The sequence below is a fragment of the Homo sapiens genome, chromosome 2 (assembly GCF_000001405.40).
Source record: "Homo sapiens chromosome 2, GRCh38.p14 Primary Assembly".
NCBI classification, from domain to species: Eukaryota; Metazoa; Chordata; class Mammalia; order Primates; family Hominidae; genus Homo; species Homo sapiens.
In genome coordinates, this window is record NC_000002.12 from 202,941,363 (window position 1) to 202,968,120 (window position 26,758).

Consider the following 26,758-nt stretch of genomic DNA (forward strand, 5'->3'; position numbering starts at 1 on the left):
CCTTTTCAAAGCTTGTCAAACTAATGTTAAGTGGGATGCTTGTCTATTAATGGTAAAAATTGTATATATATAATCTCTGTCTACACCAGGATATCTATTTTAAAATTATATACTGCTACAATAGGGCATACCCAACTCATAAAGTTGAAAAACTTTATGTGCATTAAATCTCTGGTAATATGAGAATTTTAGAAGTATTTGAAAGGGTATACCAGTACCTTGTCACATAAAAGCAATCTTAAAAAGCCAGTACAGAAGTGTAGTTAAAGATAGGATGAGGGAACTATATAACACTAATTTTTGCCCTGCATTGAATGTATTCTGGTGCCTTGGCAAGTCATTTTAAAAAGTGTTAATTTTTTAATCTATAGAATGGAATTGATTTTACCTAAATTATATAGGGTACCACAGTAGTGAATATGAGAGATTTGTTTAAGATAAAACAGTCCACAAAAATACTAAGTGCTTTAGTTGATCAGCTATTTAAACTCTTTCAGCTATTAAATAATAGAAGAAAATGGAATTGAATATGATGTCAGCATGGAACAATCTAATGATTCATTAAGAGTCAACCATAATGACGGTGAAGAGTCAAAAACCAGTGCTCAAGTATTTGAGGTATGGATTCAGCTGGGAACCTTTTTCCATCCTAGGGTAAAACAGCATGCCATTTAACAGCTCTTTATGCTCAAGGGATAGCTGTTATATTTAGTGTATTCAAGAATTTTGAGCTGGGCGTGGTGGCTGACACCTGTGATCCCAGCACTTTGGGAGGCTGAGGCGGGCGTATCACCTGAGGTCAGGAGTTCAAGACCAGCCTGGCCAACATGGTGAAACCCTGTCTCTACTAAAAATACAAAAATTAGCTGGGCGTGGTGGTGGGTGCCTGTAATCCCAGCTACTCAGGAGGCTGAGGCAGGAGAATGGCGTGAACCCAGGAGGCAGAGCTTGCAGTGAGCTGAGATCACGCCACTGCACTCCTGCCTGGGCAACAGAGAGAGACTCCGTCTCAAAAAAAAAAAAAGAATTTTAATATTTAATTATACACATATTTTATGATATATTTAATATTATAATACAGAACTTAATGCTAAGATATATTCATAAAAATTTTATATACAGAGAAAAATCTATAGGTTGAATTATGTTATTTCAGGTTCCATTCCTGTGGACAATTTTGGTAAAATTAAGATAGTAAGTATAATAATCAACAATTTTACTTAAGAAATACTTTCTGTGTATAGCAATTTGTGTGAATTGACAACTCTTACAAAAAAGTAAAAACAACTGAAAAATGGATGTCTTTTCATTTTTATTATACACATCTTTAAAAAAAATGGTGATAGACTGAAGTGATTTTTTTTTTCCTTACAAAAGCATCTAATCTGTATGGACTCCAGGGATTCTTCCTTTGGACAAAATGATTCTCCTACAGTTTTGCCCATCACTACTCGTGAAGCAAATAATTCACTCATATCACAGAATATACCAGGGCCCCTGACTCAGACACAGACTCTTTCTGCAGAGCAATTCCATCTAGTGGACCAAAATGGGCAGGCTATTCAATATGAACTTCAGTCATTGGGGGAATCCAATGCACAAATGGTGAGTATATTTTATAAGTAACCAGTTTTATGCCGTTTAGCAAAATGTATTAGTCTTACTAAATGACCTTAATTTCTTGACACTTTTGACTTACATTGTGTTTATTTATTTATTTATTTTTGAGATGGAGTTCCACTCTTGTTGCCCAGGCTGGAGTGCAATGGCACAATCTTGGTTCACTGCAACCTCTGCCTTCCGAGTTCAAGCGATTCTCCTGCCTAAGCCTCCCAAGTAGCTGGGATTACAGGTGCCCACGACCACACCTGGCTCATTTTTTTGTATTTTTAATAGAGACAGGATTTCACCATGTTGGCCAGGCTGGCCTCAAACTCCTGACCTCAGGTGATCCACCCGCCTTGGCCTCTCAAAGTTCTGGGATTACAGGCGTTAGCCACCATGCCCAGCCACAGTGTGTTTAAAATACTGTTTCCATGACTTTCATTTTTATGTAAGGATTTTAAAAGATTTGCATTCAGGACTACAAATAGTACTTTAAACAGTACTTATGAGTCTCTGTGTTTGGGCACACTTGTGCTTTGAGATCAATTGGAAATGTAACATATTCTGTAACTAGTTCTGAAGTGCCAGAGTTGACATGGAACTTACATTTAATGGAATGTACACACACACACACACACACACACACACACACACACACACACATATTAGGCTAACTCCAGTTTTGTTTTTTTTTTTCTGAGATGGAGTCTTGCTCTGTCGCCAAGGCTGGAGTACAGTGGCCCGATCTCGGCTCACTGCAACCTCCGCCTCCCGGGTTCAAGCAGTTCTCTTGCCTCAGCCTCCTGAGTAGCTGGGGTTACAGGCACCTGCCACCACACCCGGCTAGTTTTTGTATTTTTAGTAGAGACAGGGTTTCACCATGTTGGCCAGGCTTGTCTTGAACTCCTGACCTCGTTATCCACCCACCTCAGCCTCCCAAAGTGCTGGGATTACAGGCATGAGCCACCACGCCCGGCCTAAACTCCTGTTTTTGATTTATCAACATCTCACTGACCTGCAAGCCACTTTCTGGTATGTTTTCTTGAAGAAATAGAAAGTAATGGAGGTACTGCAATGGAGGTACTACTAGTATATGGGGAATTAGACATATCCTTGCTGATCTTTGTGGGTAAATGTGTGCCACGTGAGTAATAATGCATAAAGATAAAAAGATGAGGATGGCTAAATACTTTTCAAACTGTTGGCTAAAAGTATTTTTGACCAAGTTCATAGTTTGAGCCAAAGAGGTGAAAGATTGTTTTGACTGACATATGGAAAATTACTAAGCCTCTAAGTTGCTCTCTGGTTATTTAGAATATACTTAACATAAGTAATACTGTGAAGGATAATGTGTTTCTTGTTTACTTGAATTTTCTGAATTTTCTACAATAAATATTTTATTACTTTCATAATAAAATTAATAATTTTAAAAGCATAATAACTTTAATTATAAATTATACCACAGGTAAACATTTTACCTAGAATTAACCCTTGTTTCTGTTCATAATCTAGAGCATTCTAGAGTTAATCTGTGCCATTTTGCTCCTTTATGATCCAGCCAAATTGAGTTTTCTAAATTCTAGGGTTAACAGTAATTGGTTGAGAGGTGACTGTGTGCAGGGGAATCCTTTTTGTTTATGTTCAGGTTTTCTGGGCCTATGCCCAGAACCATACTGCATCACCGGCAGAGGTTAATATTCAACAAATAATTTAAATGTTAACCAACTACATTTTAATTTTTCATGTCCAGAATGAAATACTTCTGTAGTTTCCCCTTTATTTGACATTTATTCTAGTTTCTATCAGAACATTTAGAAAGTTTGTGTTTTTTTTTTTCCAAAGGAAGATCAAGGAGTCTGAATGTGTAAAAGGGTTGTCATTTTACCTAGGGTACCTTTCCGAGCAAAATTGTTTATTTGAGTCCAAAAAAAAGTTAATTAACACTCTTTGTAATTGGATTAAACTTTCTATACAAAGTAAGTACAAAGGTGGTTTTACATTGTTTAGGTAGGCGATGACACAGAAGGTTATTTGAAACCATGAAATAGGAAACATGGTATGAAGCATGGAAAAAAAATGTGAGAAACAGATTATAAGAAAGAATTTTCTTCAAAGAACTGAAGATCAGAGAGAGAATATTCCGGGAAACTTAGTGGAACTTTTGGTTTTGTTTGTTTCAGTGGACTGTATTTTTTAGAGCAACTTTAGGTTCATGACCAAAGTGAGCAGAAGGTACACAGATTTTCATATATATATACTTCCTGTACCTGCACGTGCTACAGTATCCCCCTTTATCAACATCTCCTACCAAATGGAGCTATTTGGTGTTTTTTTGTTTTATTGTTTTTGTTTTATTTACTTTTAACTTTTACTTTAGGTTCGAAGGTACATGCGAAGGTTTGTTATGTAGGTACACTCAGATTGTACAAGTTATTTCATCCACCCATGCATTAGGCCTAGTACCCAATAGTTATTTTTTCAGCTCCTCTCCCTCCCACCCTCCACTCTCAAGTAGACCCCATTGTCTGTTGTTCCCTTCTTTGTGTTCATAAGTTTTTATCATTTAGCTCCCCCTTGTAAGTGAGAACATGCAGTATTTGGTTTTTTGTTCCAGTGTAGTTTGCTAAGGATAGTAGCCTCCAGCTCCATCTGCGTTCCCACAAAAGACATGATCTTGTTCTTTTTTATGGCTGCATAGTATTCCGTGGTGTATATGTACCACATTTTCTTTATCTAATCTGTCAATGATGGGCATTTAGGTTGATCCATTTATTTGCTATTGTGAGTAGGGCATTAATGAACATTCATGTGCATGTGTCTTTATGGAAGAATGATTTATATTCCTCTGGGTATATATCCAGTAATAGGATTGCTGGGTTGAATGGTGGTTCTGTTTTTATCTCTTTGAGGAATCACCATACTGCTTTCTACAATGGTTGAACAAATTTACACTCCCACCAGAAAGTATATAAGTGTTCTCTTTTCTCCACAACCTCACTAGCATCTGTTATCTTTTGACTTTTTAATAATGGCCATTCTGACTGGTGTGAGATAGTATCTCATTGTGGTTTTGATTTGCATTTCTCTAATGATTAGTTATATTGAGCTTTTTTTCATATGCTTGTTGACTGCATGTATGTCTTCTTTTTGAAAAGTTTATGTTGAAACTAGATAAAACTACTTTAAATTTCATATGGAACCAAAAAAGAGCCTGTATAGCCAAGACAATCCTAAGCAAAAAGAACAAAGCTAGAGGCATCATGTTACTTGACTTCAAACTATACTACAAGGCTACAGTAACCCAAACAGCATGGTACTGGTATCAAAACAGATATACAGACCAATGGAACAGAACAGAGGCCTCAGAAATAACACGACACATCTACAACCATCTGATCTTTGACAAACCTGACAAAAACAAGAAATGGGGAAAGGATTCTCTATTTAATAAATGGTGCTGGGAAAACTGGCTAGCCGTATGCAGAAAACAGAAACTGGACCCCTTCCTTACACCTTATACAAAAAATTAATTCAAGATGGATTAAAGGCTTAAACGTAAAACCTAAAACTATAAAAACCCTAGAAGAAAACCTAGGCAATGCCATTCAGGACATAGGCATGGGCAAAGACTTCATGACTAAAACACCAAAAGCAATTGCAACAGAAGCTAAAGTTGACAAATGGGATCTAATTAAAGAGCTTCTGCTCAGCAAAAGAAACTATCAGAGTGAACAGGCAACCTACAGAATGGGAGAAAATTTTTGCAAGCTATCTATCTGACAAAGGTCTAATATCCAGAATCTACAAGGAAGTTAAACAAATTTACAAGAAAATCCATCAAAAAGTGGGCAAAGGATATGAAAAGACACTTTTCCAAAGAAGACATTTATGTGGCCAACAAACATAAAAGTTCATCATCATCGGTCATTAGAGGAACGCAAATCAAAACCACGATGAGATATCATCACACGCCGGTTAGAATGGCGATTATTAAGAAGTCTGGAAACAACAGATGCTGGCGAGGCTGTGGAGAAATAGGAACGCTTTTACACTGTTGGTGGTAGTGTAAATTAGTTTGGCCATTGTGGAAGACAGTGTGATGATTCCTCAAGGATCTAGAACCAGAAATACCATTTGACCCAGCAATCTCATTACTTTGTGTATACCCAAAGGATTATAAATCATTCTTCTATAAAGACACATGGACATGTATGTTTATTGAAGCACTGTTTACAATAGCAAAGTCTTGGAACTACCCCAAATGCCCATCAATGATAGACTGGATAAAGAAAATGTGGCACATATATACCATGGAACACTATGTAGCCATAAAAAAGAATGAGTTCATGTCCTTTGCAGGGACATGGCTGAAGCTGGAAACCATCATCCTCAGCAATCTAACACAGGAACAGAAAACCAAACACCTAATGTTCTCACTCATAAATGGGATTTGAACAATGGGAACACATGGACACAGGGAGGAGAACATCATACACCAGGGCCTGTCGGGGGGGTAGGGGGAAAGAGGATGGAGAGCAATAGGACAAATACCTAATGCATGAGGGGCTTAAAACCTAGATGATGAGTTGATAGGTGCAGCAAACCACCATGGCACATGTATACATATGTAACAAACTTGCACGTTCAGCATATGTGTCCCAGAACTTAAAGTAAAACAAAAAACAAAAAACCAGAAATGTCTGTTTGTGTCCTTTGCCCACTTTTCAATGGTGTTGTTTTTCTTTTGTAAATTTGTTTTAAGTTCGATATAGATGCTGGATAATAGACCTTTGTCAGATGTATAGTTTGCAGATATTTTCTCCCATTCTTCAGGTTGTTTGTTTACTGTGTTGATAGTTTCTTTTGCTGTATAGAAGCTCTTAAGTTTATTTAGATTCCATTTTCCAATTTTTGCTTTTGTTGTGATTGCTTTTAGTGTCTTTGTCATGAAATCTTTGCCCATTCCCTTGTCCAGGATGGTATTGCCTAGGCTGTCTTCCAGGTTTTTATAGTTTTGGGTTTTATATTTAAATCTTTAGTCTATCTTGAGTTTATTTTTGTATATGGTGTGAGGAAGGGGTCCAGCTTCTGTCTTCTGCATGTGGCTAACCTGTAATCCTGGCACCATTTACTTAGCAGGGAGTTGTCTCCCTAATGCTTGTTTTTGTCAGCTTTGTTGAAGATGAAATGGTTGCAGGTGTGCAGCCTTGTTTCTGGGCTCTCTCTTCTGTTCCATTGGTCTATATGTCTGTTTTCATACCAGTACCATGCTGTTTTGGTTACTGTAGCCTTGTAGTATAGTTTGAAGTCAGGTAACATAATGCCTCCAGCTTTCTACTTTTTGCTTAGGATTGCCTTGGCTATTTGGCCTTTTTTTGGTTCTATATGAGTTTTAAAATAGTTTTTTTCTGGTTCTGTGAAGAATGCCATTGGCAGTTTGATAGGAATAGCATTGAATCTGTGAATTGCTTTGCGCAGTGTGGCCATTTTAATGATATTGATTCTTTCTGTCCATGAGCATGGATTTTTTTTTCCATTTGTTCGTATCTTCTCTGATTTATTTGAGCAGTCTTTTGTAATTCTTATGGTAGAGATCTTTCACCTTCTTGTAATCCTAGGTATTTTATTCTTTTTCTGGCAATTGTGAATAGGATTGCCTTCCTAGTTTGGCCCTTGTCTTGGTTGTTGTTGGTATATTGGAATGCTAGTGATTTTTAAACATTGATTTTGTATACTGAAACTTTGCTGAAGTTGTTTATCTTCTGGAAGAGCTTTTGGACGGAGAATATGGGGTTTTCTAAATGTAGGATCATGTCGTCTGCAAACAAGGATAGTCCAACTTCCTCTCTTCCTATCTGGATGCCCTTTATTTCTTTCTCTTGCCTGATTGCTTTGGCCGGGACTTCCAATACTATGTTGAATAGGAGTGGTGAGAGAGGGCATCCTTTTCTTGTGCTGGTTTTCAAGGAGAATGCTTCTGGCTTTTGCCTATTTACTATGATGTTGGCTGTGGGTTTGTTAGCTAAGCATCTTGTTTTTCTTAATTTATTTTAATTAAATAATTTATTTTTTAAGAGAAATGTCTCAGCTGGGCCTGGTGGCTTACGCCTGTAATCCCAGCACTTTGGGAGGCTGAGGTGGGCAGATCACGAGGTCAGGAGTCCGAGACTAGACTGGTCAACATAGTAAAACCCCATTTCTACTAAAAATATGAAAATTAGCCAGGCATGGTGGTGCATACCTGTAATGCCATCTACTCAGGAGGCTGAGGCAGGAGAATCACTTGAACCCAGGAGGCAGAGGTTGTGGTGAGCCAAGGTCGTGCCACTGCACTCCATGCACTCCAGCCTGGGCAACAGAGCAAGACTCCATCTCAAAAAAAAAAAAAAAGAGATATGTCTCACTCTGTCACCTAGGCTTAACTGCAGTGGCATGATCATAGCCTCCAGAGTAGCTAGAACTACAGGGGTGTGCCACTGCCATCAGCCAAATGGAGCTTTTTAAAGAAATATACCTTCCTTTTTTTCAATATGACTTTTTGTTATTTATTTATTATTATTATTATTATTATTATTATTATTATTATTATTATTATTATTTTGAGACAAAGCCTCACTCTGTTGCCCAGGCTGGAGTGCAGTTGCGTGATCTCAGCTCACTGCAACCCCCACCTCCTGGGTTCAAGCGATTTTCCTGCCTCAGCCTCCCGAGTAGCTGGGATTGCAGGTGCCTGCCACCAAGCCCAGGTAATTTTAGTATTTTTAGTAGAGACGGGTTTCATCATGTTGGCTAGGCTAGTCTCAAACTCCTGACCTCAGGTGATCCACCCACCTTGGCCTCCCAAAGTGCTGGGATTACAGGCGTGAGCCATCGTGCCTGGCCCAATATGACTTTTTATATAAAAGTTATTAGTAAAGATTCTGTAGTGGGTGAATCTGCAATGGATGAAGATGTTTTGGAGTGAAGCTGAATTGGTCTTTTGAATTTATTAGAAATATTGTACACAAAGGGCCTAGTAGGTAAAAGACCACTCAGCTAAAGTTTTCTGATAATTTTCATGGTCTGCCTGAAATAGAATGTGTTGTAGCACATGACTCTTCAAAACCATGTTTGCTTTCATAGCAAAGATTTTAGGTAATTAGCTGGGTTTTCTTTAAATAGGAAAAGTAATATTAACATTGTCATTGTCAGATTATATGAATTGTAAATAGTTTTTTAGGTACCAGGGGGACTTAGCTAAGAAGGGAGAAAATAAATGAGACTTTTATCTACTATGCTTGGGAAACATAGTTTCAAAATTAAGAGGATATTCCACAGATCAGTCTTAATTATGAAACTTGTATATGATTGAATAACTTATAAAAACTTATTTGTGTTTAATTTTGATTTAAAAATAACCACAGCACTTATTTTCTAAGAATGAATAGAACACTTTTCATACCCCCATTCCTAAAAGTTAGAAAATTTGTATATACATATTTTTTTCACAGATATTTAATCTTATTATAAGGGGTAAAGAATTTAAAACAATATTATTACTGTTGCCTTTTAATGTCCAGCAGGGTTTTTTATATTGTTTTGCTTTTGTCTTTTCTTAGGTTAAGTAACATTGTCAAATATTGGGAGCTAGTACAGAGTGGTAGTTTGAAGGAGTCAGATTGCTTGAGTTTCAATTATAGCCTACCACTAAATAGCTCTGTGTAACCTTCTATGAGTTTTGTAACCTCTGTGTGACAGTTTCCTCATTTATAAAATGTATATACTTGAGATACACGTGATGAGGATTAAATGAGGTAATACATCTGAAGTGCTGCCACTTCCTATGAACTGAGCACGTGTAAGCAGTTGTCATCAGTTTGCAGTTGCTGTTTCATGCTAAAGTGATAAGAGTTATGGCAGGACATTTTTATCTCAAGAAACTTGTTGAACATTGGGGAAGGAAGGAAACAATTCCCATTCTTAATTTTGGGAACTATCTATGATTATATTAATATTTAAAGCATTCTAGTTTGTTGAAGTTTTTCCCCTAACATTAAATTTTTTAAAAAATTTTTTTCAAATTTATATTTGCATTTTTTCAAATGGCCCTTTTTTTTTGAGACAAGGTTTTGCTCTGTCACCCAGGCTGGAGTACAGCAGCATGATCACGGCTCACTGCAGCCTTGACCTCCCAGCCTCAAGTGATCCTCCCACCTGAACCCCCAGAGTAGCTGGTACTACAGGCACATGCCATCACACTCAGCTAATTTTTAAAATTTTTTGTAGAGACAGGTAGCCCAAGCTCAAACTCCTGGGTTCAAGTGATCCTCTCACCTTGGCCTCCCAAAGTACTGGGATTACAGGCATGAGCCACTGTATCTGGCCTCAAGTAACTCCCTTAAAAGTTGGAATACAGTCCCTGTCAAGCATCAGCAATATTTTCATGTTTTACCTAGCAAAAGAGGAGTCTGGGAACGTGGGTTGGAATGATTAAGGATTGTTACCTGCACTAAAGAGGTAATAGGAGAGTAGTATGTTAAGTAATAAAATTTATGTGGTGCTGATGGAAGTCTGATGCTTCCAGACTTTTTGGAAGTCTGGAAGCATCAGATAGACTTAAATTCAAATACTGTATTAGCTATACTTCCAAATGATAGGTCCAAAAGTTTTTCTTCAACTTCATATGTCTTTTTAGTTGATATTGCTCTAAATTTGATAGAGTAGGTTTAGTTGTTAAACTGAAAAAAAGTACAATAAATATACTATTTTCCCTGTGTTTTCAGACTTTTGAGGCACTTTGTAGTACCGTTCTTTATGAACCATAGAGACTATATATAAATGCTGAGATACCAAAATAAATCCTATTTAATTAGACATTTATCAAGTTACCTTTTTTTTTTTTTTGAGACAGAGTCTCGCTCTGTCGCCCAGGCTGGAGTATAGTGGCGCGATCTCGGCTCACTGCAACCTCTGCCTCCCAGATTCAAGTGATTCTCCTGCCTCAGCCTCCTGAGTACCTGGGATTACAGGCGCGTGCCACCATGTCCAGCTAATTTTTGTATTTTTAGTGGAGACAGGGTTTCACCATGTTGATCAGGCTGGTCTCGAACTCCTGACCTCGTGATCTGCCTTCCTTGGCCTCCCAAAGTGCTAGGATTACAGGTATGAGCCACCATGCCTGACCAACATGTTACCATTTTTAAACGAAGGAAGATGACTTTAAATATAAGACAAATGGTTGCCACACAAATAGGTGAAACATGTATGAATAATACAGTAAGTGGCAAAAGGTAAATGTATTACATCCAGACAGACTTGTTCAGATTACCAAGTAATTAGACTTCATCCATGTGTAATGATTAAGACCATTGGTGGTTAAGACCCTAGGATTAGGGTCAAATTGCCTGTTTTTAATCCTGGCTTCACCACTTATAAGTTGTGAGACCTTGGAAAAAAATGTTTATGTGCCTCAATGTTTTCATCTATAAAATGGGGGAAATCATAGAATCCATCATAGAGCTAGGTATGTGTTTAATAATTTATTTAATTAATAATTTTTGTTAAATCAGTCTAGGCATATGCATTTGATTTTTTTTTTTTAATGCTTCCAAGATGATCGTTGCCAGCCCAACAGAAAATGGACAGGTACTTCGTGTAATTCCACCTACCCAGACAGGAATGGCACAAGTGATTATACCTCAGGGGCAACTTGTGGATGTGAATAGTCCTCGGGGTGAGTAACAACGGGATATAGGGGATTTGAGAGTGTTTTAAAAACATAAATATTTTAGAAAAATCACCTTATGAAAGTCAGTGCTAAAGTTGATTTCTTTAGGTAAAAGATTATGAATTAAATAATTAGAAAACAGCTCTTTGCCCAAATAAATTCAAAGTTCATTTTTCAACTCCTGTCTAGGTTAGCTATTTCATTTAAGAATTCTATGAAGCTGATTGACTCCTGCTTCCTCCCAAATGACCAATGAGCATAAAATAAATTATTATTAATGATAACAGTAATAATAACAGCAACAATAGCAAGAATATAATGTTAATAGCTTCAGAAGTTTTTATTTATATCTTTTTTTTTGGAGGCAGAGTCTCGCTCTATCCCCCAGGCTGGAGTACATTGGTGGCATGATCTCGGCTTACTGCAACCTCTGACTCCCAGGTTCAAGCAATTCTCCTGCCTCAGCCTCCTGAGTAGCAGGGATTACAGGCGCCTGCAACCATGCCTAATTTTTATATTTTTAGTAGAGACGAGGCTTCACCATGTTGGCCAGACTGGTCTTGAACTCCTGACCTTGGGTGATCCACCTGCCTCCGCCTCCCAAAGTGCTGGGATTATGCACGTGAGCCACTTCGCCCAGCCATTTATATCTTTATCAATATTTTTATTAGCCATGTGACTCATTACTTTTTTTTTTTATCCTCTTGCTCTTTTCCTCTTTCCTTGGCTCCTTCAGATTCAGAAAAGAGAATCATGCTCCCTATTTCTCCTTGTATAGTCTTTCTTTACCTGTTTGGTAATATGCCTATTACTCTTTTTTTGTTGTTTTTTTTTTTTTTTTTTTGCTTTCCTCCCTTTTCCCTCTATTTGAATCTCTTTTCCAACCTCATAGCTATACTGTTATGTTGCTTCTTCATAGCTAATGGTTTAGGGCAGATATTTTTACCTTAGTGTTATCATTCTTTGTTAATAGTCATTAAGACATTAAGAGAAAAACATAGATTGCAGAAAACATTATGAGCACAGTATATAAACAAAATTAGTTTTACATTTTCCTATATATTGCAGAACTCTTAATATACAATTATTTCTACCACTTTTATATCCTGGCTGTTCAATATAAATTCTAAAAATTATAAAATTACAGTAGTCAGTATTATAATTTAAAGTAAACAAGTATCAGAGAAATTCTCAATAAAGCATTATTCCTTTACTCTCAATAAAGCATAAATTTTCTTTACCTATTACAAATACATAAGTTTTAGTTAGGTATATTCTTATGGTCTTATTCAAGATATTGATGTTACTTTGTTCTTGTTTTTGTTGTTAAGATGTCCCTGAAGAGAAACCCAGTAACAGAAACTTACCAACTGTAAGAGTGGATACTCTAGCAGACAATACCAGCAATTACATTCTTCATCCTCAAACATCCTTCCCATTGCCCAAAAAGTCAGTGACCGGGTGAGTCCACGGGAAAGAGAAGCTCATCTTTTAATATCACCATGGAAATCTTTTTACAAATTACACATTTAAAGCTGGCAGACTATAGAGAAAATCAGAAGATAGAAGGAACTATCATTGAATATATCTTTAGTTATTTTAAGGCATCTTGGTCATAAGGCGGCTATTCTGGAAGCTATAAATGTCAAAAGTGCCACTTTTCCTCAGTGACATCTGTTATCTTTTGAAACAGTATGAAAATTTTATTAGTTTATTTAGTCTGACATTAACAGACTTTTCAGAATAAAGAAACATTCATGGCCAGGTGCGGTGGCTCACTCCTGTAATCCCAGCACTTTGGGAGGACAAGGCAGGTAGATCACGAGGTCAGGAGTTCAAGACCAGCCTGGCCAAGATGGTGAAACCCCATCTCTACTAAAAATACAAAAATTAGCTGGGTGTGGTGGTGGGCACCTATAATCCCAGCTACTTGGGAGGCTGAGGCAGAGAATTGCTTGAACCCGGGAGGCGGAGGTTGCAGTGAGCTGAGATTGCACCACTGCACTCCAGCCTGGGTGACAGAGCGAGACATCATTTAAAAAAAAAAAAAAAAAGACTGGGCACAGTGGCTTATACCTGTAATCCCAACACTTTAGAATGCCAAGGCAGGCGGATCACGAGGTCAGGAGATTGAGACCATCCTGGCTAACACGGTAAAACCCCGTCTCTACTAAAAATACAAAAAAAAAAATTAGCCGGGCGTGGTGGCCGGCGCCTGTAGTCCCAGCCACTTGGGAGGCTGAGGCAGGAGAATGGCGTGAACCTGGGAGGCAGGGCTTGCAGTGAGCCGAGATTGTGCCACTGTACTCCAGCCTGGGTGACAGAGCGAGACGCTGTCTCGAAAAAAAAAAAAAATTCATTATAGTTCCTAAATTTTTAAATTTGTTTTATCACATTTTTATGCATAGAATTCCTCTGTGGCAAAATGTTTAAAATGCTTTTTGCTAACTTTTATTTCAGTTTTTGTTTTTGTTTTAAAATAATACTATGATATTTTAGGGAAATATGTACATGGCTTATGTATTGTTTATGTTATTTTAATTGTTCCATAAAAGTATTTTTGAATTAAGACATTATTTTTGACATTTAATTTCAGACCTTAATAATGTTGCTTTTCACTTGATCTTAGCCAAAAGTCCAAGAAGTGACACATAATGTTACTTCAAACTAGTCAAATTTATCATTTTTTTGATAAATGAAAACAGTTATATAATAAGAGCACAAAATAAGCTTTGGGAGAGATATATGAAACACTTAAAGTTGTTGGGACTACGTGTATCTGGAAGAAGAAATTTAGGTCTTTGACTTAGCAGTTAATAAAATAGCAGTGGTTAAAGAAAATAATAACTAATGCACCCATCAGATCAATCTGTAGTTATTGTTAAAATTTGTTATTGATGACTTCAATATTTGTCTTTGATACTAAGAGGATAAAGCAGTTGAATGCATTTTGTGTGTTCATTGAACTGCATATTTATATATATTCCTCTCCTATCCCAGAATGCTGGAAGAACCCCTTCTGGGGCCTCTTCAGCCACTTTCTTCTAATACACCTATATGGGCCTGCCGTCTTAGGAGCTGTGAGGTGAGTTATAAATAATCATTACCTAGAATTACTTAACTGATTATAACCACAGGTCATCCCCAAATGCCACTTTTGAGTACAACTAATATAGTCTATAGTTACAGTATTTTGTTTGTGTTTATGTTAAATCTGATCTCATCTATTGTTGAATTCTTAGAGATTCTAAGCTCTGTTAAAGCAGAGGTTATATATATCTCTTTACATTTCACTATTATTTCTTCTCTTGCAACTCTCTTCCCTCGTAGTCCATGAAACTTCACTATCATGTTTCTCTACTATTTACTTTTCAACCATTTATTTTCTTTCTTTGCTTGCACTTATTTTTTTTTTTTCATATTATCAGTAGAAAATTCTTCAAGGCTCACTTTCTGACTTTGTCTTTTTTCTCTATATTTTGTCTTTTGGAGCACTTACCTACTTTGTTGACTTTCAACTGACATCTACAAAAATGATTTTCAAGTCCGTATCACCAGTTTATTTATTTATGTATTTATGTATTTATTTATTTATTTATTGAGACAGAGTCTCCCTCTGTCCCCCAGGCTGTAGTGTAGTGGTGCAATTTCAGCTCACTGCAACTTCTGCCTCCTGGGTTCAAGCGATTCTTGTGCCTCGGCCTCCTGAGTAGCTGGGACTACAGGCATGTGCCACCACACCTGGCTAATTTTTGTATTTTTAGCAGAGATGGGATTACACCATGTTGGCCAGACTGGTCTCAAACTCCTGAGGTGATCTACCCACCTCAGGCTCCCAAAGTGCTGGGATTACAGGTGTGAACCACTGCGCCAGGCCAGATTTTGAATTCTGCCTTCCTCTTGTCCCAGATATCTGGCTACTTGCTTGAAGGTTTATTTGAATTTCACCTCAAATTCACCATATCCCATACTGAAATCATCTACCATGCAACAACTAGCTCCACTTCCAAAATTCCATGTCTGTGTAATGACAAATACCGTTTCCTTAGACACCCAGGCATAAAGTTTTGTACTAATTTCTTGCTTTCCCACATTTAGGTAGTCACCAGATTCTTTTTCTTTTTTATTTTTTTGAGATGGAGTCTCGCTCTGTCACGCAGGCTGGAGTGCAGTGGCGCTGTCTCAGGTCACTGCAACCTCCACCTCCCAGGTTCAAGCGATTCTGCTGCCTCAGCCTCTTGAGTAGCTGAGACTACTTGCGCGTGCCACCACGCTCAGCTAATTTTTGTATTTTTAGTAGAGACAGGGTTTTGCTATGTTTGTCAGGCTGGTCTCGAACTCCCGACCTCAGGTGATCCTCCCGCCTCAGCCTCCCAAAGTGCTGGGATTACAGGCATGAGCCACCGCGCCCAGAAGTAGTCACCAGATTCTTTTAGTTTTTCCTTTAAAGTATCTTTTTCTTTTTGGCCCATTTTTCAATAGGCCTTTGTCCTCTTGTGCTTGATTACAGGAATAGCCTGCCCCCTAACATCTTTGACCCTCCCATTTCTGGTCCCTAATGTATATTTTTCTAAGGCTACTTGTATTTGAAGATTGTTTTAATTGTCTTTTCTCAGTGCCCAATAAGTCATGTTATTTTTTCCACATTATTTAGCCACTGTAGCTAGCTTCAAAGGCCTTTCATAATCTGGTATCATCCTACGTTGTCCTACTTTATTTCCTACTTTTCTCAAACTCATCTTCATTCTTGCTAGCCTAGTCCTCCTACTTTTGACAGATACTCCAGAATTTTTCTTTAGCTCTCCCTTTACCCATTTTTATTTCCTTTTCCTATATGTTACTTTTTTCTTCTACTTACCATTTCTAACTATTCTTCAAATCCCAATGCAAGTCCTACATGTCTTTTCTATAAATTATCTAATGATTATTTTAGCCTTTATCTATTTCTCTCTTTAAATTCTTTAGTATTAATTGTCATTCTTAATTATTTACTAGCTTAGGCCGGGTGCGGTGGCTCACTCCTCTAATTTTAGCACTTTGGGAAGCCAAAGCGGGCAGATCACTTGAGGTCAGGAGTTCGAGAGCAGCCTGGCCAACGTGGCGAAACCCCATCTCTGCTAAAAATACAAAAATTAGCCGGGCATGGTAGTGGGCACCTGTAGTCCCAGCTGCTGAGGCAGGAGAATCGCTTGATTTTAGGAGATGGAGGTTGCAGTGAGCCAACATCACGCCACTGCATTCCAGTCCGTGACAGAGCAAGACTCCATCTCAAAAAAAAAAATTAAAAAATAAAATTATTTACTAGCGTGGGTTGTTCACTGTTACATAAAAATTAGACTTTTTGAGGAAAGGGACCATGCCTACTCTATATACAAACCATAGATGGTAGTGAATATTTAACTATCAGAATGCTTCATTGTTTTAAACAAATCTTAAAATGTGGGAAAGAAAAAATATTCTATTTTAATAATTTGAGAAAATTTCTCATAAAAAACCTTGTGCTATATATATTACATTTGTTAGGACATTATTGTTGTTGCTTTTCTAAGTAGAGTACATGTATGTATATACATATATGTGTGTGTGTGTGTGTGTGTGTGTGTGTGTAGTTTTAGCTTTTTGTCCCCCTACCTTTTGTTAGTCATGGTTTTTCAGTGGTTTCCTAAAGTTACTGTTGTGATTGTTTGATGAGGGTTTTAAAAATCATTATTACAAGCCTCATGGAATGCTATGGATATTAGAGCATTTATTAAAACAATCATGCAACCAAATCACCTTATGTTACAACTATAGTGCATTGTGTGGCTTACCTAAAATCATCGTATATCTTGTAAGAAACTGAGTACTCCTGTCCAACAGACTTGAGTATGGTTGTCCAAGATGAACCACTTCTTTCCCAGTGAGGGGTTCTTTCTCCTCTCCCAAGCTGTATCAGTGATAAAAAAATTTTTGAGTTGGCTGGGTGCGGTGGCTCACGTCTGTCAGTACTTTAGGAGGTTGAGGCGGGTGGATCACGAGGTCAAGAGATTGAGACCATCCTGGCCAACATGGTAAAACCCTGTCTCTACTAAAAATACAAAAATTAATCTGGCATGGTGGCGCATGCCTGTAGTCCCAGCTACTCGGGAGGCTGAGGCAGGAGAATCGCTTGAACCCAGGAGGTGGAGGTTGCAGTGAGCTGAGATCATACCACTGTACTCCAGCCTGGTGACAGAGGGAGACTCCGTCTCAAAAAAAAAAAAAAAAAAAAATTGGGTTAATGGCTGAGGAAATATTTTCTGCATTTTGGTTCAAAATATTGTTTAGTAATCTTTTATTTTTTGAATTTCTCATTTAATGATGTTTTACTATAGGCATTTTTTTCAGATTTGACTAAAGTGTATTAACTGGACAAATGTCAATACTGTATTAAAATGTTATCTGTAAGCCTATTTATAAGTATATATAGTTCTGATTATATTATACTGATTTTTTCTTTATTGACATATATTCTAATTTTATTTATAAGTAAATTATAGTATAGCTAAAATTTATATCCATTTATTTGTGGTGAATATTTTGATAGAGTTGTCTAGGTTAGCAGAAAAATTATAAGCATTTTCATTATTTTAGAGGAAATTGCAGATAATGTATTGTTTGGCATCAGATTATCTCTTAACTATTATAACGAAAAGTACAGCCACAACAGTATTTTGATACCTTTCTATTTGTTAAATGTATTCTTCCTTTCTGCCCACATCTCTGTTCTTATTTCCTCTAAGGGGGAAACATACATGGAGTCAATTCTAGGTCTCTGCATTTCATTGTAAGAGATCACAGTTAACATGTTTTTTCTGTTGGTATTGAAAAAAAAGTTTCTCCCCAGCTGGGTGCAGTGGCTCATGCCTGTAATCCCATCACTTTGGGAGGCTGAGGCAGGCAGATCACCTGAGATCAGGAGTTTGAGACCAGCCTGGTCAACATGGCGAAACCCTGTCTCTACTAAAAATACCAGGCATGGTGATGCACGCCTGTAATCCCAGCTACTTGGGAGGCTGACGCAGGAGAATCATCTGAACCCGGGAGATGAAGGTTGCAGTGAGATGAGATAGTGCCATTGCACTCCAACCTGGGCAACAAGAGTGAAACTCCATCTCAAAAACAAAAAAAAAAAAAAGAAAAGAAAAAGTTTCTCCTCTAGTACGAGGATACTCAAATGGTTGTATATAGATAATATCAATTAATTTACATTATTTATTTACACCTTTCCTTGTTTTAGAAGGAATTTAAGAGAGCTTACAAAAAATACGTAAAATATATTAGCAAGGTAGAAATTAAAAGTGGGAGCTAAACAATAAAGAAAGACAAGGATGGGAACATAAATGGAAGTAAGAAAATACATGTCTTAACCAACTGTGTGTGTGTGCATGTATACATGTACTTGTCTATAATCTAGGTATATGCTTTTCAAAAGGGGAAGCATAGTTACTAAATTCTGTGCCTTTTAGATTTAAAAATTATGCTAATTTCCATAAGATAAAAGCAAACCATTAACTATTTTTGGTACTAAGACCAGACAGAAATTTCTCTCAGAGAAGGATCTTCTTTTTTTTTTTAGACAGAGTCTTGCTCTGTTGCCCAGGCTGGAGCGCAATGGCACAATCTCAACTCACTGCAACCTCCGTCTCCCAGGTTCAAGGGATTCTTGTGCCTCAACCTCCCAGGTAGCTAGGACTACAGGCAAGTGCCGCCACGCCCAGCTAATTTTTGTATTTTTCGTACTGATGGGGTTTCACCATATTGGCCAGGCTGGTTTCGAACTCTTGACCTCAGGTGATCTGCCCACCCTGGCCTCCCAAAGTGCTGGGATTACAGACATGAGCCACTGTGCCCGGCCTCAGAGAAGGATCTTCATAAAAAGAATGTTGATATAATGAGCAAATTTTTCTACAGCCTTTTTATCAATCACTCACAGTTTTCATTGGGTTTCTAACAGATGCATGGCATCCTATCAAAATTAATCTCAGGCCTTCCTGCCTTCCTGCCTTCCCACCTTCCCGCCTTCCCGCCTTCCCACCTTCCCGCCTTCCCGCCTTCCTGCCTTCCCTCCTTCTCTCCTTCCCTCCTTCCCTCCCTCCCTCCTTCCTTCCCTCCTCTTTCCTTTCTCCTTCCAACCTCACTCCACCAAAAAAAATCAGTTTCAGTAAAGGAGGCCCCATAGGAAATGAGTACTTTGTGGCTAGTTTTACGCTGATCTGGATTGATCCAGGGTAAAGTTTTAAATATCTGAAAGAATTGATATACATTATATGTTCTTGCAAGTTATCTTTTCTAAATATTCTTTGTCTCAAACAAGACGTTGATAAAGATAGTATGGCAATGAGTTTGGCATTATATTCCCTAACAAACACCTGGTTGAACTCAAATCAGACCCACTGATTGTAATAGACCATTGATCTGAGGGCACAAATGACATTCTCTTGTGAAAGGTGATGAGTCTTCCATTTTGGACAACCATCTCATTACATTTATTATGCAATGAAGTGTATTGCTAGTAATTTTGTTTAATTTCTACCACATGCAGAAAATTGGAGATTCATACCGTGGCTACTGTGTAAGTGAGACTGAATTAGAAAGTGTCCTAACATTTCACAAGCAGCAAACACAGAGTGTTTGGGGGACCCGTCAGTCTCCAAGCCCAGCCAAGCCTGCTACACGCTTGATGTGGAAATCCCAGTATGTTCCATATGATGGAATCCCATTTGTTAATGCAGGTACTTTTTTAAAGAATTATTTTAAAAGGTTCAGCAGCAGCCATAGTCCATTGTCAAAATGTGATTTTCCTAAGGTGATAACATTTTTATTTTGGTAGCTGACAATTGAATGCTAATTGATTAAAATGCATATTAAATTGAAAAAACTTATAGAAAATATAATCAATTACTTTATAATATTGCATTTTAATATATCAATGAATAAATAAGACTTCTTTCATATATTATACTGAAAAATAAAATATCGAAGTTTCCATTAAACCTATTTAATAAAATGTTAAAAGAGCAATTTTATTTTAAATATGTACATCAGCTGTGTTTTTCCCCTTCAGATTAAATATTTTAGCCTTCTCTCTTAATTTGTATTGTGGGAGAAATTTATGTCTATTTTATGTAGCTTGTAACTCTGGAGTTACTGTATAGAATTTGTATACAATCTAGAGTTATAGAATTCTGATACTAAAGTTCTCAAGCATTAGGTATGTTATATACAGTATTCTCAGACACTGGGTTAGTTGTTTACTAAGGGAGTAGAGTTTCAAGCAAATCTCTTAGACTAGTTAGAGCCCCAAAGAATCTAAAACTAAGCGATTTATTTTAGGACTATGAGGGCACTAATTTAGCTGAAAGAGTTGCAGTTTCATCCTGGACCTCTGAGGTTAATGAGATATACTTAAGATGAGATAAATGTAACCACTTCTGCCTGAGTTTCATCAGTATTCTATAAAAGAAATGCAGCATTAAAAATAAATGAGCTGGGTTATTTATATATTTATTTATTTATTTTAAACGTGGAGGCTCATGCCTCTAATCTCAGCACTTTGGGAGGCCAAGGCGAGAGGATTGCTTGAGCTCACGAGTTTGAGACCCACCTGGGCAAAACAGGGAGACCTCATCTTTACAAAAAATAATAAATTACCTGGACATGGTGGCATGGGGCTGTAGTCCCAGCTATTTGGGAAGCTGAGGTGGAAGGATCACTTGACCCTTGGAGGTCGAGGCTGCAGTGAACCGTGATCATGCCACTGAACTTCAGCCTGGGTGACAGAGTAAGACCCTGTCTTTAAAAAAAAAAAATTAACAAATAATAAAATGAACTTGAAATCCTATAGTCTTCCTTTTTCCCATCCTAGTTTTAATCTCCTTAACCCTCCATAGGTAGCTACTACATGAATTTCATGTGTATCGTTCTAGTCTGTATTTTTATACTTTACCTTACATATTGTATCTACAATAATACATTTTATTGTTTTGGATTTTTAAAAAATGTATAAATAGTAAAATGTAGATATTGTTTTGCAAATATTTTCATTCACCCTTTTTTTTACATTTATTGGTATTGATAGTTATAAATCCTAGTTAATCCAATTTAATCATTGTATAATATTCCAGCATGTGACCAAACCACAAGTATTTTTCTATTGATCATCATTTAGGTTGTTTCCAACTTTTCATTATTACAAAGAATGCTGTAGTCAAACCTCCACACTATATATACTTTAATGAAAAGCTGTAATTAGTTTTTCTAGAGTATATGCCTTAAAGTAGAATTGCTGGTTGTGAATTATGCCCATTTCATCTTTACAAGATTATCTTAAAATTGCTCTCAAGGCCGGGCGCAGTGGCTCACGCCTGTAATCCCAGCACTTTGGGAGGCCGAGGCGGGTGGATCACGAGGTCAGGAGATCGAGACCATCCTGGCTAACACGGTGAAACCCCATCTCTACTAAAAATACAAAAAATTAGCCGGGCGAGGTGGCGGGTGCCTCTAGTCCCAGCTACGCGGGAGGCTGAGGCAGGAGAATGGCGTGAACCCAGGAGGCGGAGCTTGCAGTGAGCCGAGATCATGCCACTGCACTCCAGCCTGGGCGACAGCGAGACTCCGTCTCAAAAAAAAAAAAAAAAAATTGCTCTCAAAAGTGATTGTACAGGTCCAGAATCCCTTTGAATTTTTTTGGACCAGGTATATTTCAGAATTCTGAATTTTTTGAATGTAATATGGTAACATTATGGAATACTCCTAGCAGGTATTCTATAGACCAGCAGTCCCCAATATTTTTGGCACCAGGGACTGGTTTTGTGGAAGACAGTTTTTCCACGGACCAGGATGGGGGATGGGGGATGGTTTCGGGATGATTCAAGCACATTACATTTATTGTGCACTTTATTTCTATTATTACTACATTGTAATATGTAATGAAATAGTTACACAACTCACCAGAATGTAGAGTCAGTGGGAGCCCTGAGCTTGTTTTCCTGCAACTAGCAGGTCTGAGCTGGAGGTGATCGGAGACAGTGAGAGATCATCAGGCATTAGATTCTGATAGGGAGCCAGCAACCTAGATCCCTTGCATGTGCAGTTCATAATAGGGTTCGTGTTTCTATGAGAATCTAATGCTGCCACTGATCTGACAGGAGGCAGAGCTCAGGAGGTAATGCAAGTGATAGGGAGTGGCTGTAAATACAGATGAAGCTTTGCTGGCTTGCCCACTGCTCACCTCCTGCTGTGCGGCCTGGTTCCTATCAGGCTACAGACTGGTAGTGGTCCAGTCTGGAGGTTAGAGACCCCTGTTATAGCCAATATCACATAATCAAACACCAATTCTTTATTAGATAGATAGCCACACCAAGAGAAACAAATAAAGACTATAACCTCACACAGCTCAGGCCTGGTTTCGCAGCCAAGTGAGTCCTGAAAAAACCGTTTTCTGAGCTTTTTGGATTTCAGATTTGTACATAAGGGTTTGATAGCTTGTACCAATTTTCACTCCTGTCAGCAGTGTGTGAAAATTTCATTTCCCCACTTTTACTTCATGACTTAGCATTGCCAGATGTTTAAAAATCTTTGTTTGTTTGTTTGTTTGTTTTTTTGAGTCGGGGTCTCACTCTGTCACCCAGGCTGGAGTACAGTGGTGTGATCTCAGCTCACTGCAATCTCAATCTCCTTGGCTCAAGAGATCCTCCTGCCTCAGCTTCATGAGTAGCTGGGACTACAGGTATATGCCACCATGCTCAGCTAATTTTTGTATTTTTTTGGAGAGATGAGGTTTTGCCATGTTGCCTCGGCTGGTCTCAAACTCCTACACTCAAGCAATCTGCCCACTTCAGCCTCCCAAAGTGCTGGTATTACAGGCATGAGCCACTGTGCCCACACCTTAAAAAGGTTTTTTAAAGCCTTAAAAAACCTTTACATTATGGAAATTTTTACATGTGAATCAAAGTAGAGATAATAATATAAGAAACCCCATGACTCTAGGTATCTATCTTCCAGCTTCAACAACTATCAGTATATGGTCAATCTTGTCTCATACCCCTTACACTTCCTCATTCCCTAGATGGTTTTATAGCACATTTCAGATATATCATTCCATCTGTAATTACTAAAGTATATGGTGTATACTAAAGTATATATCTCTAAAAGATAAGGACTCCTTATATATATATATACATATATGTGTATATATATATATATATACACACACACACATACATATATGAGAATCCTGTGATCACACTTAATAAGAAAATTAACAGTAACTTTGTAATGTTATAAAATGTTCAGCATTTACATTTTCCCACTTACCTCACAGGTTTTTTTTCCTCTCCTCAAAGGTTGTTGAAATTCAAATCCAAACAGGGTCCACAGACTGCATTTAGTTAATAAATCTCTTAAACTTCTTTTCATTTGAAGATTTCTCTCCTCTTCTAGGTAGTTTGTTCTGTAATATTTGCCATATTCTGGGTTTTGCTTATTCCATCTGTGTGATGTAGTTTTTGTTCTTTATCTCTTGTATTTTCTGTAAACAGGTCTAGAGCCTTGATTAAATGCAGATTTGATTTTTGCAAGAATACCTCCTCGGTGTGCTGTGTACTTATTGCCATCTGTATGTGTCTCTCTGTTTGTGGTGTTCAGATTGATCAGTGGATTCAGTTTTTATAGAGTATTATGGAATGTTTTTATTTTTGCCATTCCAAGGAGTATGAAATAGTATTTTACTATTGTTTTAATTTGCATTTCCCTGTTTACTTAAAGTTGAACATCTTTTTCTTTGTTCATTTACTACCTTTTTTTTCTTTCTGACTTGGCTATTCATAGCCTTTGCACATTTTTCTGAGTGGTTGTTTATTAATTATTTATGATTGTTTGTAGTCTACATAGTAATTCTACATGGGCAATTACTATGTTATATATCTTATAAAATGCTATTTCTCACACTATTACTTTTATATTTACTTATGGTGTCTTTTAAACAGAAGTTTTTATATTTTAATGTCAGCTTTATTAACATTTGTATTAGTAATTGGTGTTTTTATTTTATATTTTAAAAGTTTGTTGTATCCTACAGTAGTGTAAGATATTCAACTTAAAATCTTAAGTTATATAATTTTCACATCTACTTATTTGTATTATCTATTGCTGTGTAACAAATTATCCCAAACGTAGTGGCTGAAAACGACAAACGTTAATTATCTCACAGTTTCTGTGAGTCAGGAATCCAAGAGTGACTCAGCAAAGTGGTTCTGCTGCAGTTGTCTCATGACTTGACTGAGGGAGGGTCTACTTTCAGATTCACTCTTGTGGCTGTCAGCAGGCCTTATTCCTTGCCACGTGGGCCTTTCCACAGAGCTCCCTTACCACTTGGCAGATGATTACCTCCAGAGAGAGCAATTCAAGCAAGAGTAAGAGAGAGTACCCAAATGATAGTTACAGTCTTTTTGCAGCCTAATATCAAAAATTACTTCCTACCACTTTGGCCATATTTATTAAACGTAAGTTAGTAAGTCTAGCCCATATTCAAGGGGAGGGGATTACTCAAGGACATGAATGCTAGAAGGCATGGATTACTGGGGGCCATCTTAGGGCTGGCTGCTGTATTAACAGCCCAAATAAAAACAAGAAAATAATTATAAAAGGAAATAAAAATTTAAATGATACCAATATTTATTAACCAAATGTAACATTTGCTCACTATTTATAAAATGGTATAAAAACCATATGTCAGGTGGGATGCAGTGGCTCATGCCTCTAAATCACAGCCCTTTGGGAGGCCAAGGCAGGCGGTTCACTTGAGTTTAGGAGTTCAAAACCAGCCTGGACAACAAGACAAAACTCTGTCTACTAAAAATACAAAAATTAGCCTGGCGTGGTGGCACACGCCTATAGTCCCAGCTACTTGGGAGGCTGAGGCAGGAGAACTGCTTGAACCCAGGAGGTGGAGGTTGCAGTGAGCCAAGATTGCGCCACTGTGCTCCAGCCTGGGTGACAGAGTGAGACTCCGTCTCAAAAAAAAAAAAATTATATGCCAGTAGACACTCAGTAAATGTGATATTCACTAATTTTCTTACCATAATTATGGTACCTTTGGTAAATTTTAAAATAAACTTTTAAATTTATATGTTTGTATATGTAAGTAAGACTTACTAATGTTTTCTTTCCTTAAAGCTGTATATTTGAAAGATTTTGACATTGCCACCACCAAGTTACTTTTAATCTAGTGTCTAGAATAGATGGACACTTGAATTAATATCAATAGTTGGTTTTGGCCCACAGGGAGTAGAGCTGTGGTAATGGAGTGTCAGTATGGGCCAAGAAGAAAAGGTTTCCAGTTAAAAAAAGTCAGTGAGCAGGAAAGCAGGTCTTGTCAGCTCTACAAAGCCACTTGTCCAGCTCGGTAAGCTTTATTTTCTTTTATTTGTTTTCTATTAAGAACTTATTTTTGAATAGCTAATACACATATTTTTATTAGGTTTATACAGTACCAAAAAGTATACAGTGAATTCTAAGTTTTCTCTTACCCACATTTGTTCTGTCTTTAAAGCAACAACTCTTACTAGTTTTTTGAGTCATCTTCCAAAGATATTCTGTGTATATGGATGCATATAAAGGCAGAGAGACAGAGATCTCCTTCTTTACCCCTATAAATGTTGTTGAAAATCTCAGTAAAGCTCACTAATATTTTCTTTCCTTAAACTTACATAGTAGTGTACCTTTTTTCTTGATATGAATTCACATAGATTTATTCTCAATCTGAATGCCTATTGTGGTTATCTGCTGCACAGATATGTTACATACTAGTGTGAATGTAATGACATACTTTCCTTTTTTTCATTCTCAGTGTATCTCAAAGCTGACTCCATAGATGTACATAAAAGTACTATTTTTTAATAGCCATATAATATTCCATTTATGGATGAATTATTTAATTCATGTAAGCTGTGAAAGGTATTCCTTATTAGTATTATACAAAGCTGCAGTTATTAACATTGTACATATTTGTGCACTCCTACAAGTGTTTCAGTAGGAAAAATTCCTAGAAATGAAATTGCTAGGGCAAAGGCTGTATCTTTTAAAAATGTTGACAAATATTGCAAAGTTGCTTTTTAGAGCGATTTTATCAATTTAGCAGCAAATTATGAGACCAATGTAGTAAGTTTTAGATAGATTAGGACTACAGAGTAGTCATTGCTCTTGGTAAGAATGAAAAATGTGAACCAATGAAAGATTTTACAATGTCCTTTATGAATGTAAATTTTTTAGACATTGAAAGTATTTTAAGACTTAAAATATATTGAAAGTGTTTTAAACTATTAAGTAAAATAAAAAATTTAAAAGATAATATGTAGTGGTTGGACTTAGTTGATCTTTGAAACACTTTTAGCATCACATCTCACATTATAAATACCTTAGCATTCT

At 37.2% G+C, this 26,758-nt stretch overlaps 1 protein-coding gene across 20 annotated transcripts in view, besides 1 other annotated feature; it reads left to right on the forward strand.

The window, feature by feature from the left end:
* CARF (calcium responsive transcription factor) overlaps positions 1-26,758 on the forward strand; it is a 75,989-nt gene that overhangs the window by 29,088 nt on the left and 20,143 nt on the right. For 9 of the 20 annotated variants that reach the window (XR_007081622.1, NR_148033.2, XR_007081643.1 and 6 more), the window contains 7 exons: positions 498-618; positions 1,378-1,605; positions 11,197-11,317; positions 12,643-12,772; positions 14,312-14,396; positions 19,875-20,064; positions 25,616-25,736. Coding sequence is in view for 12 of the 20 variants with exons in the window: in NM_001322428.3 (NP_001309357.1) it covers positions 541-618; positions 1,378-1,605; positions 11,197-11,317; positions 12,643-12,772; positions 14,312-14,396; positions 19,875-20,064; positions 25,616-25,736 (953 nt within the window). In the remaining 8 variants the exon portion in view is untranslated. The remainder of the gene's footprint in view (positions 1-497; positions 619-1,377; positions 1,606-11,196; positions 11,318-12,642; positions 12,773-14,311; positions 14,397-19,874; positions 20,065-25,615; positions 25,737-26,758) is intronic. The other 11 variants (NM_001282911.3, NM_001282910.3, NM_001352677.2 and 8 more) reach the window with 8 other exon arrangements.
* Positions 24,702-24,751: an enhancer, noted in NCBI's record as "active region_17008". NCBI's record gives its function as "activates an Ori minimal core promoter by ATAC-STARR-seq in GM12878 lymphoblastoid cells {active_cell/tissue: GM12878}" and the evidence as "EXISTENCE:reporter gene assay evidence [ECO:0000049][PMID:35858748]".